Source organism: Homo sapiens, chromosome 4, assembly GCF_000001405.40.
Source record: "Homo sapiens chromosome 4, GRCh38.p14 Primary Assembly".
NCBI classification, from domain to species: domain Eukaryota; kingdom Metazoa; phylum Chordata; class Mammalia; order Primates; family Hominidae; genus Homo; species Homo sapiens.
Window position 1 is genome coordinate 169,688,664 of NC_000004.12, and position 16,656 is coordinate 169,705,319.

At 36.1% G+C, this 16,656-nt stretch overlaps 1 protein-coding gene across 9 annotated transcripts in view; it reads left to right on the forward strand.

Annotated features, from left to right (window-relative positions):
* CLCN3 (chloride voltage-gated channel 3) overlaps positions 1 to 16,656 on the forward strand; it is a 103,096-nt gene that overhangs the window by 68,086 nt on the left and 18,354 nt on the right. For 8 of the 9 annotated variants that reach the window (NM_173872.4, NM_001829.4, XM_047449584.1 and 5 more), the window contains 6 exons: positions 380 to 567; positions 1,867 to 1,989; positions 3,451 to 3,657; positions 6,949 to 7,029; positions 8,526 to 9,071; positions 15,335 to 15,521. In NM_173872.4, coding sequence (NP_776297.2) covers positions 380 to 567; positions 1,867 to 1,989; positions 3,451 to 3,657; positions 6,949 to 7,029; positions 8,526 to 9,071; positions 15,335 to 15,521 — 1,332 coding nt within the window. The remainder of the gene's footprint in view (positions 1 to 379; positions 568 to 1,866; positions 1,990 to 3,450; positions 3,658 to 6,948; positions 7,030 to 8,525; positions 9,072 to 15,334; positions 15,522 to 16,656) is intronic. The other variant, NM_001243372.2, reaches the window with a different exon arrangement.

The following is a 16,656-nucleotide window of genomic DNA, read 5'->3' on the forward strand; positions in this document are numbered from 1 at the left end:
TGGACATTAAATTTTAATGAAATTGACATCATTTATAAGTCTGTTAATTAAGTTATCGATTGAAAATTAGATTTGTGAACCTCCTGCCAAGTAGCTGTCTTTTGAAGATATTTTAGTATCTTTTAAACATTGTTTTTCAGATCACAATTAATTTGAATGATGTAACTTTTTAAAATTCCAAACAAAAATAGCACTTTTATTGTAAAAAATAACTCTTTACAGTTTATAACTAAAATTTGAAAATCTTAAATTTATATGTAGTTCATAAATGACCCTTTATTTAGGAGTCTCCTGCTTTCTACTTGCCTTTTAACTAGATTGTTCTCGACTCCCAAAAAATTGACTTAATTTTTTTACCATCTCCAACATGTTTTTATAGGGGCACTGGCCGGATTAATAGACATTGCTGCCGATTGGATGACTGACCTAAAGGAGGGCATTTGCCTTAGTGCGTTGTGGTACAACCACGAACAGTGCTGTTGGGGATCTAATGAAACAACATTTGAAGAGAGGGATAAATGTCCACAGTGGAAAACATGGGCAGAATTAATCATAGGTCAAGCAGAGGTAAGTCTTGCTTTGTCTCAAGATGAATTAATAATTGATATAGCAAAATGTTTCCAATTCATTTAATTATAGAACTAATCACATATTAGATGATTACATACACATCAAATGGATCCACCCTCAACACATTGCAGCAAGAAAGAATTAAGTGCAATATTGTTTCAAGTAGCTTTTTTATTAGTTAACTGCATAGTCATATAACAAATCCTCTGGATTGTGGTGCAAATATATTTGAGCTGTAGTAGAAAAGAAGTGATAGTTATTGCAGTAAGATCTGTGTAAAGTTACTAAGAAGTCAAGTTATTAAAACTAATATATTACTAAGATTGGGAAGTTTGAATTATGAAAGTATTATCAAATAATTTAGTAAAATCAACCTACGTAGAGATACATTGAAGATAATCAGACATTTTTATTTGTGGCATTACGGCATTTAAATGATTGATTTACTATGATCTACAAAGAACATTTTAGAACTTAGGATGTTACATGTATATTTTTTACATGATGACATGGATATATTTTTTAAATTTTGTTTTAGCTGAACTTTAGAGCTAAAAGGTATACATTTGCGGTAAGATGAGTAGTATGCTGTTTCTCACCTGGCTTAATTGAATTGAGTTTAATGATCTGGAAAGTTGCAGCAGAATGAAATCTGAGTGGTGATGCAATTTGTTTCCACTGTTTCCAAAAAGTGGTTTGTAGGCAGAGATTGAAGTATAGCTGAGATGTGTTGGTAACAAGACTTTAGGGATTAGGAAAAAGATTAAATGTGCTCAGGGTTCCTTGGTATATGTAGGCATTAATTTTTGGACTCTACTTAAATATTTTGTTCATATAAAGTTTTTATTATTGTGGAAATAAACCAGGAGACTTTTACACATTTTACTGAAGTTTCTTTTCTTTCTTTTTTTTTTTTTTTTTTTGGCCGGTGGGATGGAGTCTCACTCTGTTGCCCAGGCTGGAGCGCAGTGGCACGATCTCGGCTCCCTGCAACCTCCGCTTCTGGGGTTTAAGCGATTCTTCTACCTCAGCCTCCCGAGTAGCTGGTATTACAGGCGTGCGCCACCATGCCCAGCTAATTTTTGTATTTTTAATAGCAACGGGGTTTCACCACATTGGCCAAGCTAGTCTCGAACTCCTGACCTCAGGTGATCCACCCGCCTCAACCTCCCCAGTGCTGGGATTACAGGCGTGAGCCACCATGCCTGGCCGTTTACTGAAGTTTCTTATGACAAGCATTTGCATTAGAGGTGCAATGTAAATTAAATTCATACTCTCGAACTATTTTCTTTTTAGGGTCCTGGTTCTTATATCATGAACTACATAATGTACATCTTCTGGGCCTTGAGTTTTGCCTTTCTTGCAGTTTCCCTGGTAAAGGTATTTGCTCCATATGCCTGTGGCTCTGGAATTCCAGAGGTAAGCCAAGTAATATTTAGTGTCATTAAACATTATTATGATGCTTATCTTTTTGACCTTAGTGATAATAAAAGTTGGCTTTTCTGGAGGGAGGGGATAGTTTGTTCATAATATGAAAAAAAAATTTTTTTAAGTATAAGCTGATGGTAGACATCATTGAAAAATATTGTTCCCCATAGTCATTTGGTCATTTACTGTGAAGGCTGATTTTTTTTTTCTCTCACCACTAATTTAACACATGACTAGGCAAATTTTCAGACTATTTAGTTAAACATCAAGAGCCTGGAAGAAGTATCTTGTGACCTAATGTTCTTTGACGGGTTAGTTGTTACTTTGCTGTTATGACCCTGAATTTTTTTTTTTTGAGACTGAGTCTTGTGCTGTCGCCCAGACTGGAGTGCAGTGGCGCAATCTCAGCTCACTGCAACCTCTGCGTCCCAGGCTCAAGCAATTCTTGTGTCTCAGCCTCCTGAGGAGTTGCGATTGCAGGCACCTGTCACCATGCCCTGCTAATTTTTGCATTTTTTTGTTTGTTTTTTTTTTTTAGTAGAGATGGGGTTTCACCATGTTGGCCAGGCTGGTCTCAAACTCCTAACCTCAAGTGATCACCCGCCTCAGCCTCCCAAAGTGCTGGGATTACAGGTGTGAGCCACCACACGTGGCTATGACCCTGATTTTGATTCATTCACTTTTTATAATTACCTTTTGATTAGATAAGTTAATTATTCTTGAATTTGGCCATTTTATGCTTTGAGAAAGTAGTTAATCACAGTGGGTCAACAGTACAAACTTTTGGGTTTTATTTTTCATCACAATAAAGTAGAGTTATACATAGGATTGATTGAACTTGATTTGAACTTATCTCTTCTCTTTTATTTTTCTGTAGTTAAATAAGTTACCAACTTTTTCCTAATACATTTCTTTTTAAAATGGAATTGTATTGATCTTTAAGTTTGTATTAAGAATATCTTTCATAAAAAGCAATATCATGCAGTATATAACAGTTGTTACTCATTCTTGATACATAAAAAACTATTGCACATAATTACAGTACTCAGAGAAAACATAATATTCTTATTTCTAACATAATGTCCAAAATATATTTAAAATATTATGCTTATTTTTACAACAGAAATATTCAAATTTGCCCTTTTTTTGGTTATGTAATTATAATCCTTATAATTAAGGTCTGTATTCATTTTAACATGGCCTGATATTTTGATTTTGTTCCTGAGATAGTGTTGCCCTCTCTCCTTTCTTGGGTAGAGAATTAGATTATAATATCAATTTATTATATGTAGCATAATAGGCAAAGTTTTCGAAAAATTAACTGTAAATTTTTCTGTAGACTGCTAAAATTTGCAAGGTTGTTTTTGTGCATAAAACAAGAAAATAACTTGGATTCGTTACATTCTCATGTTTCTTAAAGGACATTAAGCTGCCTTAATCTTTGCCTTGTAGATTAAAACTATTTTAAGTGGATTCATCATCAGAGGTTACTTGGGAAAATGGACTTTAATGATTAAAACCATCACATTAGTCCTGGCTGTGGCATCAGGTTTGAGTTTAGGAAAAGAAGGTCCCCTGGTACATGTTGCCTGTTGCTGCGGAAATATCTTTTCCTACCTCTTTCCAAAGTATAGCACAAACGAAGCTAAAAAAAGGGAGGTAAGTGTCTTTTGTAGTTAATTTGACTGAAAAATATATATTATATAGTATTTATTTAAGTAAAGAATTTCTTAGTGTAAAAATAATAAATTCTGTATTCAGATAAAAAATTTTGAGATTTGTGCTTCTGTTTTTCCTGAATAATCTATAACATCTTTCTAGAATCCATTCCCAGTGCTGCTCAGTTCGTCTTACATTTTAGAGAAGCTTTAGATAGACAGCTGGTGTCCATTGGGTTTCAGCTGCATTTCACGAAGATCTTCCTGTTATCACTTTACCTTACATCTTTCCTCTTCTGAAGTGTTTTCTAAGCTTAGCTTTGTTTTTCACTCTTACTTTCAACATTAAGAGGTTGGGAAATCTTAATAGCTATGTTTTCCTCCTGGAGGCAGTGTCTGGTGCCAGTGTAAGTGGTGTGTGATATGAAAAATGCTATCCAGTGCTATGGGGAAGTTCTGAGGGCCTTTAGAAGCTCTTGAAGTTTAAATCAGAAATTCACATTAAAGAGATTACAGGAAATCCTTTTCATTTGATTGTTTAAGGCAATTTCCTTTACCATTTCTTTAGGCCAGCCTGAGATCTTCTACAAGACCTTGAAACCTTATATATATTATGGATTTCCTCTGATGTTTCCATATTGCTCTGGGCATTTTCCTGAATCCTTTATATTAGCTCTAGACTTTGGGAGCCCAGTCCCTTCCTATTTTCCAAATCTAAATCTACAGCCCTAGATGGTACAGAGATCTTTGAGTTTTTAAGATATGATTTTTTGAAAAACATCTCATTAAATACTGGCAGAACCTTTTCATCTTGTTGAGTTTTTTAATGTACTGTAACCAAAAAAGTAGAATATTTTATCAAACTGTTTAATCTTCAATTGAAATAATTCTAGTACATTTTAATGTTCGCATTAAAATATTGTCCTTGCATTGGACGTAGATATCCCAAAAGTGGAATACTTCAGATTGTCGTAGTTTCATCTCTGAATAATTGTGATTCCAGTACTTTATAACAAAAATAGCTAGCATTATTGATTACTTTCTGTGTATCTGGTACTGTGGCAGATACTTTACTTGGATTTTAATACTTAATTTCACAGTAATTTAGTAATATGGCCCTGTTATCCTCATTTAGTGATTAGTAAACTAGGGCTGAAAACAGCTAACTAACTTGCCCGAGACTACATACCTAGTAAGTGGTGGAACGTAGGTTAAAATTCATTTTTCTTTGACTTCAAAGTCTGTGGTCTTACCTACTTACATTACTGCCCTTACGACTATGTGGGTATATATTTGTGTGTGTTCAAAACAAACTCAAAACCATCCTGTAGCGTAGCAAGTTAGTGGCTAAGATGAAGCTAGAGCATTTGCCTCCTCAATTCAATTCCATTACTTTCTGTTGTACCTTTATATTTTTTGGTAAGACTTTTACTTATTCTAAGTTCAAAAAATGTAATTTATTAGATGTTTGAGAAATTAAGTTTACCTAAATTTTAATGTTCATACTGTAGTGATTAGTTAATGTTTAATACGTTGTTATTCTGTCACCTTAGTGTATATATAAATGGCAAGAATTCACGGTTAGTTGAAAGCATTAAGGTCCCATAGTTTTGTGTAGACAAGAGGGGAGAGCGTTGATATTTTTAAATTAAATGCTTCTTAGATACGTATGAAATGGATTAAAACATGTATATGAGTTATAGATACCTAGGTGTTAGTTTGGTTGTAAATTCAGGATCAGGACATTCAAATAAATATGTTTGCTTTCCTCTTAGTGGAGGAAAAAAAAAAGAAGCTAAATTTGCTCCCTTTCCTCCCCAAATAAGCAGAGTCTACATTTTAATGCCAACAATTTGATTAAAACAAATATTTATTTACTTTTAATTCACCAAACTTTTATAAAGTATTTACTGGTGCCAGGCACTGTTCTAAAGCACTCTGTATATATTTACTCAGTCCTTAAGAGCTAAGTAATATTATCACGTTTCCATTTTAGAGAAAACTGAGGCACATATAGGTTAGGTTATCTACCCATAGCCATACAGCTAGTAAGTAGCAGAGCCATGATTTCAACACAGCAGCCTGACTATGGAGTTCATGATCTTAACCATTTACAGCTTAATTTTTATTATTTATAATTTCTCTTCTGGAAATGTAACAATTGACCATTTGAAGAAATACTTTAGGTAGCTTTGGATATTTGCTGTATTAAAGTAGTGAAAGTAATACAGACACTTGGCTGGGCGCGGTGGCTCACGCCTATAATCCCAGCATTTTGGTAGGTTGAGGCAGGCAGATCACCTAAGGTCAGGAATTCGAGACCAGTGTTGCCAACATGGTGAAACCCCGTCTCTACTAAAAATACAAAAATTAGCCGGGCGTGGTGGCAGGCGCCTGTAATCCCAGCTACTCGGGAGGCTGAGGCAGGAGAATCACTTGAACCCAGGAGGTGGAGGTTGCAGTGAGCTGAGACGACGCCATTGCACTCCAGCCTGAGAAACAAGAGAGAAACTCTGTCTCAAAAAAAATAAAGGAATACAGACTCTTAGAAAAATAATTACAAATAAAACCCTAGTGAAATTATAGGTATAGTTAGGTATAGTTGGCTTACAGGTGGGAAGTAGACCATTACCAACTGATAGACTGGGGAGCTGGAGAGAGGACACGGAAGAGTGTCCTTGGATTTTTCTTTTCCTTTAATTTTTTTGTAGAGGTGTTGGTTGGTGAGACTGTAACTTGAGGAGCTGTTGTGTGTGCTTTCAGAATGAGGCTCTCTAGATTGATAGTATTTTAGCAGTATTTCAGAATGCATAGGGTAGTGAAAATATAGGGAATCTTACAAGGTCTTCGGTTCCCTGCATATCTTGCTACGATTTGGAATAGAGTATTTATGGTGGAGCAGTTAGCTCTAAAATTTGAAGAAATGATATCCTATTTAAAAATAGCTCCCCATCCCAGTTACTGCCCTCCCCTCTTACCTACACAAACATACGTCTTGAAAATTGTCTATATTCATTGCCTCCTCCTCTTTACACCCTATTCACATTAGTATATCTGGCAAAAATTTTTTTTAACTGAATGGTAAATGCATGACTGACCTTTCAATTAAAGCCAGGAGAAAGAAACAAATCTTAATAGAAGAAATGAATAGTTACCCTTTGCTTAGGGAGCAAGGAAACATGCAAGTTAAATTCAGAAAATCCATTTGGAAAATTCAAGTAACATGAAGAATTTTTATTTGGTATGTTTGAATTTCTATGAAATTATGAAATAAGCCATATCCTCTTTCTAGGTGCTATCAGCTGCCTCAGCTGCAGGGGTTTCTGTAGCTTTTGGTGCACCAATTGGAGGAGTTCTTTTTAGCCTGGAAGAGGTAGGTGAAAAGAATACAACAATTAAAATTATATATAATTACCATTACAAATATATTTCACACATTTCAGTTTTGTAGGTGATGTAATAGGTAGAGACTTTGTTTTCAAATTTATTTTTCTAAAGTTGTTTTCCACTCATTCTTAATAAAAAGTAAATGTTATTCATGCTCCATACCTGGAGGAAACTTTTTAAAAATTTATTAATGTATGAATGTTAGTAATTATTTAAAATCTAACTTTGTTGACATATTTAAAAGTAAGAAGATGTGAATTTGACTTAATAGAGGACATGTGAAACAATCTATTTCCATTGGCTAAATTCTGTATTTTTAGTAGAGATGGAATTTCACCATGTTGGCCAGGCTGTTTTTTTGTGGGGTTTTTTTGTTTTGTTTTGTTTTGTTTTTGTTTTTGAGACGGAGTTTCACTCTTGTTGCCCAGGCTGGAGTGCAATGGCGCGATCTTGGCTCACTGCAACCTCCGCCTCCAGGGTTCAAGTGATTCTCCTGCCTCAGCCTCCCAAGTAGTTTTTGTTTAAAAAATTTTAATCAATTCCTATGTTGTGTTTTAAAGTTTTTCCCATGTGATTATTTCTGATACAGTTAGTGATGTTAAAGAAAATAATTTTAGTGACTTCAGTGGATTATTTTGTTTTTGTTTTCTTAATAGGTGTTTAAGACTTTTCTTTTTACATAAAAATGTAACCAGGAATTTTTTTTTAATTTTTTTTGACAAATAATAATTGTTTTTGTTTATGGGGTATAATGTGATGTGTCTATACATGTATACATTGCGGAATAATCAAATCAGAGTGATTAGCAAATCCCTCAAATATTTATTATGTCCTTGTGGTGGTGAGAACATTTAAAATCCTCTTTTAGCTATTTTGAAATATATAATACATATTATTAACTGTGGTCATCTTACTGTGCAATAGAACACCAGAACTTATTCCTCCTCTGTAAGTTCATACCCGTTGACTAATGTCTCCCCTTTCCCTGTTCACCTCCCCAACCCCTAGCCTCTGGTAACCCCTATTCTACTCTCTACTTCTATGAATTTAACTCTTTTAGTTCAAGATGTTTTTAAATGTACTTTTTTCTTTTAGTTGTTTGTATTCTTTTTTTTTTTTTAATGTAGAAGAGGCAAATTAAATGCATTATAAGTTAACAGGAGTTGGTGATGGTACATTTATTTTTAACTACCATGATTGAATTGAATGTGAAACTCATTTTGAATATAAAACAGCACTAGGTATTCTATTAGTATTTATTAGACATTTATGATCAATTGATACTGTCAATTTGTAATGATGATCACCATCTCCAAAAATAATAATAACATCAATTTTTCTTATTACAGTAAAATCCATTACATGTAAATTCTAACTACAGCAAAATTTAGAGCTAGGATATTTACCATTCAAGTTATAATATATCAGAAACATCTTATAAAATTATAGCATTAATTTTTCTTTTCCTTTTCTTTTTTTTAGGTTAGCTATTATTTTCCTCTCAAAACTTTATGGAGATCATTTTTTGCTGCTTTAGTGGCTGCATTTGTTTTGAGGTCCATCAATCCATTTGGTAACAGCCGTCTGGTCCTTTTTTATGTGGAGTATCATACACCATGGTACCTTTTTGAACTGTTTCCTTTTATTCTTCTAGGGGTATTTGGAGGGCTTTGGGGAGCCTTTTTCATTAGGGCAAATATTGCCTGGTGTCGTCGACGCAAGTCCACGAAATTTGGAAAGTATCCCGTTCTGGAAGTCATTATTGTTGCAGCCATTACTGCTGTGATAGCCTTCCCTAATCCATACACTAGGCTAAACACCAGTGAACTGATCAAAGAGCTTTTTACAGACTGTGGTCCCCTGGAATCCTCTTCTCTTTGTGACTACAGAAATGACATGAATGCCAGTAAAATTGTCGATGACATTCCTGATCGTCCAGCAGGCATTGGAGTATATTCAGCTATATGGCAGTTATGCCTGGCACTCATATTTAAAATCATAATGACAGTATTCACTTTTGGCATCAAGGTAAGTGCTAATGTGAGGTGATATTTGGGTAATTTTGGCATGTTCAAAACTTATATGTGGAATGAGAGAGGTTGTTGTTTCATAAATGACTGAAAAAAGTACTTATCTTTTGAGTTTAATTTTAAGTAATGAAAAAGATAATTCCTTAGCATATATTGTTGACCATGTTATCTGTTGCTATTTAACAAATTACCCCCCAAAACTTAGCAGCTTAAGGTAACTACTTATTTTGTTCTTGATATTGAGTCAACGACTTGGGAAGGGCTCAACTGGGCAATTTTTGCTTGTGGTCTTTCATATAGTTGTTATTAGACATGGCGAGGGCTAATCATCTCAAAGCTTCTTTTTTTCGTTTCCTTTTTAAAAAACTGTTTTTGTGGATACACAGTAGCTATATATAGTTTTGGGGTATATGAAGTATTTTGATAGAGGCATGGAGTGCATAATAATCTCAGGGTAAATGGAGTATCCATCACCTCAAGCATTTATCCCTTGTGTTACAAACAATCCAATTACACTCTTAATTATTTTTAAGTGTACAATTAAATTATTGAATATAGTTCAAAGACTTCTTCATTCATGACTAGCACCTAGGCTAAAAAAATTCAGACACCTGGGCTCCTGGGATCAATCACGCATACTGTGTCTCTTGTGCTCACTCCCGCTGTCTCTCTCTCTTTCTCTCGCTTCCTTTTTCCTCTCTCTCTGTGGTTTTCTAGGGTGGTGGCCTCAGGGAATTGGATTTCTTATATTATAGCTCAGGATTCCCAAGAGGGCTGTTTTTAATGTAGCCAAAGAAGTCTTGCAGCGTGACTTGTTTTATTCTATTCATTGAGGCAGTCACAGAGGCCCGACCACATTCAGAGGAGGGACATACACTTGCTGGGACAAGTGTAAGAGAATTCATGATCATGTTTTAAAACCACTTTTATTAGTTTCCTATTGCTGCTGTAATAAATTACCACAACTTAATGGCTTAAAAGCCACACAAATTTAATATCTTACAGTTCTGCAAATCAAAAGTCTGAAACGGATCTCACTGTGCTAAAATTAAGGTGTTCGTAGGGCATTCTGGAGGCTGTAGGAGAGAGTCTTGTTTTTTGCCTTTTCTGGCTATTAAAAGCTGCCAGCATTCCTTGGCTCCTGGCTGTCTATTTGCATCTTCAAAGCCAGCAGTAGCTGGTCAAGTCTTTCTCTTGTCTCATCACCCTGACCCAAACTCTGCTAAATCTCCCTTCCACATTTGAAAAACCTTTGTGATTACTTTAGGCCCACGCAGATAAATCAGAAAATAATCTCCTTTTTCAAGGTCAGTTGCTTCGAAACTTTCTTTCTGCCACCTTGATTCCTCCTTGCCATGCAACGTAATGTAATCACAGGTTCTGGGAATTAAGTTATGGACATCTTTGATGAGCCATTATTCTGCCTCATACCAGTATAGGGTATTAGCTTGAAAGGACACTGCAGACTCAGTTAAATTACTAGATCTATAAATACATGCCTTTTTCCATCAAGAAATTAAGGCAGCTGGGTCTTATGCCCTGGGACATTGCTTCTTTTGGATTTATAAAATAACAAAATTTGTTGATTAATGGTCTATCAGTAAATATAATTTCTTATGTGACTATCAGTGATATATATGGGGAAGCACATATCAGCTTATTCTTGTTCTTTAAATTACTACCCCTGTACTTCATGTAATAGTATTTGCTAGTGATGATGTGCTTTTACAGATGTAAATTAATGTGGAATAACAGCTTTGTTTCTACAAAATTAGAGTGGTTTTAGTTTTTGAAATAAGGTCTCTTTTCTCTTGTCCTAAGTCTGTAGTCCACTGAGTATCTAGAGTTAAATAATAGAAAAGCCTGGCCAGGCGCAGTGGCTCACACCTGTAATCCCAGCTCTTTGGGAGGCCGAGGCGGGCAGATCACAATGTCAGGAGATCGAGACCATCCTGGCTAATGCGGTGAAACCCCGTCTTTACTAAAAATACAAAAATTAGCCAGGCGTGGTGGCAGGTGTCTGTAATCCCGGCTACTCGAGAGGCTGAGGCAAGAGAATCACTTAAACCCAGGAGGTGGAGGTTGCAATGAGCCAAGATCACACCACTGCACTCCAGCCCAGGCAACAGGGCAAGACACTGTCTCAAAAAATAATAATAAGAAGAAAATAATAATAGTAATAGAAAAGCCTAAACATTTTACCTTTTTTTCTTAGGGAATCAAGTTAAAAGAGCTGTTAAAGCTCTTTTTCCTACAATAAGTAAGTGTTGGGTAAATCCCAACTTTCTCACAGTCAGTTGAACTACAAGAAGCTGGAGGCAATTGGCAGGCCTTTGTTAAGTCCCACCTTTGACTCAGCTCTGGCTGAAGGATCATACCTGGCAAGAGAGTGTAAAACACACTTTGATTTTTTCTATTGTTTATCCTTTTAATGATCCTAAGAGACTCAAGAGTACATGCCATCATTTTGTGTTTGGCTCATTTCATATTCAGAGGAGTTTATTACTCTTTCAGTAGTTTGTTCGTTTGTTTGTTTTTTGAGACAGGATCTCGCCTTTTTGCCCAGACTAGAGGGCAGTGTTGCAGTCTTGGCTCACTGTAACCTCCACCTCCCAGGTTCAAGCGATTCTCCTGCCTCAGCCTCCCAAGTAGCTGGGATTACAGGTGTGGGCCATCACACCCGGCTAATTTTTGTGTTTTTAGTAGAGATGTGATTTTGCCATGTTGGCCAGGCTGGTCTGGAACTCCTGACCTCAGGTGATCCTTTGGGAGGCCTTGGCCTCCCAGAGTGCTAGGATTATAGGTGTGAGCCACTGAACCTGGCCTCTTTCAGTAGTCTTTAAATGATCTTGCTTATGGTGCTTCTTATCCCTGTTTATTATCCTTATTAAATTTAATCAATAAATATTTTTCTCTTTTTAATTGATTCATATAAATAGACTTACCTGAGAGATATAGGTTCAGTTCAGAGCACCACAATAAAGTGAATATCATAATAAAGCAAGTCACATAAAAGTCTTAGTTTCTTAGTGCATATAAAAGTTCTGTTTACACTATGCTGTAGTCTTATGTGTACAATAGCATTATGTCTTTTAAAAAAGTAATACTTTAATTTAAAAATACTTGATTGCTAAAAAATGCTAATAGTAATCTGAGTCTTCAGTGAATTGTAATCTGTTTTGCTTCTGTAGGGTCTTGCCTTGATATTGGTGGTTGCTAGAGGTAGGACTGGCTGTAGCAATTCTTAAAATAAGATAACAGTGAAATTTGCCGCATTGATTGACACTGCCTTTCATGAAAGATTTCTCTGTAGCATGTGATGCTGTTTGATACCATTTTACCTACAGTAGACCTTCTTTTCAAAATTAGAGTCATCCTCTCAAACCCTGCTACTGCTTTATCAACTAAGTTTAAGGAAAATTCAAAATCTTTTGTCCTTTTAACAATGTTCACAACATCTTTACCAGGACTGGATTCTACCTCAAGAAACCACTTTCTTTGCTCATCCATAAGAAGTAACTCCTTATACATTCAAGTTTTTTAAATGAGATTCTAGCAATTCAGTCACATCTTTAGGCTACGCTTATCATTCTAGTTCTCTTGCTATTTCCACCACTCTGTAGTTACTTCTTCAACTGAAGTCTTGAACCCCTCAGAGTCATTCATGAGAGTTGGAATCAACTTCTTCCAAACTCCTGTTAATATTGATATTTTGACCTCCTCCCATGAAACGTGAATGTTCTGGATGGCATCTAGAATGGTGACTACTTTTTGAACATTTTCAATTTATTTTGCCCGGATCAATCAGAGAAGTTGTTATCAGTGGTGGGTTTCCAAGTTGTCAGGGGCGAACCATACAGATCTTCAGCAACCTCAACTCTTGCCTTCTCAGAGGAAAGAATTCTACGGAGGGACATAAGGCAGAAAAAGAGACTGAGGCAAGTTTTAGAGCAGGAGTGAAAGTTTATTATTAAAAAGCTTTAGAGTGGGAATGAAAAGAAATTAAAATACACTTGAAAGAGGGCCAAGTGGGCATCTTGGAAGACAAGTGCCCCATTTGACCTTGGACTTAGGGTTTTATATGTTGGCATACTTCTGGCATCTTGCATCCCTATTCCATTGATTCTTCTTTTGGGGTGAGTTGCCCACATGCTCAGTGGCCTGCTAGCACTTGGGAGGGGAGTGTGCACAGTGTATTTACTGGAGTTGTATGCATGCTTACCTGAGGTGTTTGTTGCTTACCAGCCAAATGTCCCTAGGAGGTCATATTCATAAACTCCATGATTTTGCCTCTAAATGTGCATGCTTGAGCCCACTCACCCAACTCCTGGGATCTTATCGGAAAGCTGCCGATCGCTAGTTTCAGGTGTTTCTATCTATTGGAAGATGGCCTTTCCCTGATGCTGGCTGCAACCAATTATTACTTTAGAGAGAGAGCATGAGAGCTGTCTCACCATCATCACCTGATGGTTGCCTGACATTCCTGGTGGGGTTGGGAGGATGCCTGTCCTGCCCTGCTCATGCCTGACTAGCTACCTGCTGTAACAAAAGTACTATCTATGGTAGCTGTAGCCATAGGAAATGCATTTCTTCAGTAAAACTTAAAAGTCAAAATTAGTCTTTAAAACAACATGAATCTCCTTGTACATCTCCATCAGAGCTCTTGGAAGACCAGGTGCATTATTAGTGATGAGTAATGTTTTAAAAGGAATCTTTTTGTCTGAGCAGTAGGTCTCAACAGTGGGCTTAAAATAGTTAGTAAACCATGCTGTAAACAGATATGCTGTTATCCAGGCTTTGTTATTCCATTTATAGAGCACAGAGAGAGTAGATTGGCATAATTTAAGGATTACTTAAAAAAAAAGTCTTTGATTACTCTCAAAAAAAAGTCACGTCTCTCACTTTATATCAACAGCTAAAAATGGCCAGGTATTGTGGCTCACGCCTGTAATCTCCATGCTTTGGGAGGCCAAGGCAGAAGGATCACTTGAGGTCAGGAGTTAGAGACTAACCTGGGCAACATAGTAAGACCCATCTCTACAAAAAAAAAAAAAAAAAAAAGAAAGCCAGGTGTGGTGGTGCACGCCTGTAGTCCCAGCTACTCACGAGGCTGAGTCGGCAGGATCACGCCCAGCCAAGAGACGTGACTTCTGCTTTCAGTTGTACACTTAGAGACCATTGTAGGGTTCTTAGTTGGACTAATTTCAATATCATTGGGTCTCAGGGAATAGGGAAGCCTGAGAAGAGGGAGAGACAGGGGAACAGCCAGTTAGTGGAGCAGTCAGACCACATACAACACTTATTAAGTTCACTTTCTTCTATGGGCATGGTTCATGGTGCAGTAAAACAACTGTAACAGGAACATCAAAGATCATTAATCACAGAGCACTGTAACATATAATAATAGTGAAAATTTTCAAAGTATTGAGAGAATTAGCAAAATATGATACAGAGACACAAAGTGACCACATGCTGTTGGAAAAGTAGTGCTGATGGACTAGCTTGATGCAAGGATGTCATAAACCTCAATTTGTGAAAACTGCAACATGTGTGAAGCACAGTAACACAAAGCATAGTAAAACAAGATATGTCTGTATATCAGTCAAAATATTGGGCAACTCTGATAAGTTTGTCCACTTAACATTGTACCACTTAAGATGAATAGCATCTACCATTTCCGTCATTTGTAAATATATAGGAGGACATAATCACATAATCTTGAAGTAAAAGACAGTGCTTAAAACTGAATCAGTTAAGTTTTATGAAAAATACTTCATATTGTACTTTTAAAAATATATATTTTTTAATTTCAATAGCTTTTGGGTTACAAGTGGTTTTGGTTACGTGGATGAATTCTATAATGGTGAAGTCTAAGATTTTACTGCAACTGTCACCCAAGTAGTATATATTGTATCCAGCATATTGTCCTTTTTTTTTTCTTTTTTTTTTTTCATTTCACCATGGACTAATGAAAATTTTGTTAGGGACTGACATTAGGGCACCCTTGAGCTACCTTGAGCTAAAGGAAATAACCCTTGAATTTTTTTCTGTTTGGCCTAGAGAATGTGGTTTGTTTTGTAACTGAATTCATGGGATTGTTAAGGTACAAGATTTTGCTTTAGTTTTATTTGTACTAGGATTTTGCTATATTAATACAATGTGAAAAGAATCAAAAGTGTTAGAAATAAATGCATAGAATGTAAGTTTCAGGCATGTGAGTAGAGGATCTCTGCTCCATAAAGAGTTCTGTTGTTGTTATAGGTTCCATCAGGCTTGTTCATCCCCAGCATGGCCATTGGAGCGATCGCAGGAAGGATTGTGGGGATTGCGGTGGAGCAGCTTGCCTACTATCACCACGACTGGTTTATCTTTAAGGAGTGGTGTGAGGTCGGGGCTGATTGCATTACACCTGGCCTTTATGCCATGGTTGGTGCTGCTGCATGCTTAGGTAATATGGCTGTGTCTGCCTGTGTGTGGATGTTTGCAAGTCTGAGAGAGCCAAGAGAAAGTGGGACACATTCTTGCTTAATTGGTGGGCGGATTGGTTGAGTAAAGGAGGGTGCCAGGAGGAGATGTTTTAACAGATAAGAAACAGTAGTACTATTAGGGTATTATACAGTACCGGTTTTCTGTCTTACAACATTTGTTAATACAAGAATTTAATGGCATTAGCATATTGTAATATAACTTAATACACTATGGCAGAAGCCATCTAAGTACAACATAAGCTTAATTTGAATCCTGACCAAAGATGTCTTTGATTCTTTCATCGTTAAGGATCTTGGCTTACCTATAACAACTATAGCATAATACCTAAGATTAGCATTGCAACAGAGTTTCAGAGTAGGTTTACTTTGGTTCTGAAATGATTTATTGTTAGCCTTAGTAAAAGATGTATTTACCCATGCTCCATCATCTAAGGTATATTTGTAACAAAATGAGAAAAGGTAACTTCATTTTAATGAGAAGAAAAGCAAAATACCTACATTAAGTACTTGAGTCTATTTAATGTCTGTTAGGGCAGGAAAAAATGGTTATTGCTTTTCATATTTAAAATATCAGCTACACTCTGGTGATAATATTAATGGTTGCCATTTTGACCAGTTTTGTTTAGTGAATAAAAATTATGTGATTATTGATCTTTAAAAATGTAATATCAATTAAAAGGAAAGGACAGACTCATTTTCACCAAAGTAGCAAGTATTTATTAAATGTCCACTTTCTTTTTAGCATTGTGCTAGATACAGTGCATAATACAAAAAGAACATGGACCCAATCTCGACTCTAATCAAGTTGAGGAGACAAGATGAACACTGAGAATACAATAGTGAGGAATACTAACAAATATATACAAGGTTAAAAGAGTCTAAGTATGGTAGGAATATAGGGGAAGAAAGAGCTGAAGTACTTCAGGAAGAGTAGAACATGAGCTTTATTTAAAAGATTAGCAGAATTTAAGGAAAAGGTGACTTTGTTGAAGATTATAATGTGAAGACAAAGGAACGAGGATGGGAATAAATTTTGTATTCATGAGGCTTTGAAGAAATTGACTCTAGAGAGTATATTTTGGGTACTTTTGGGAA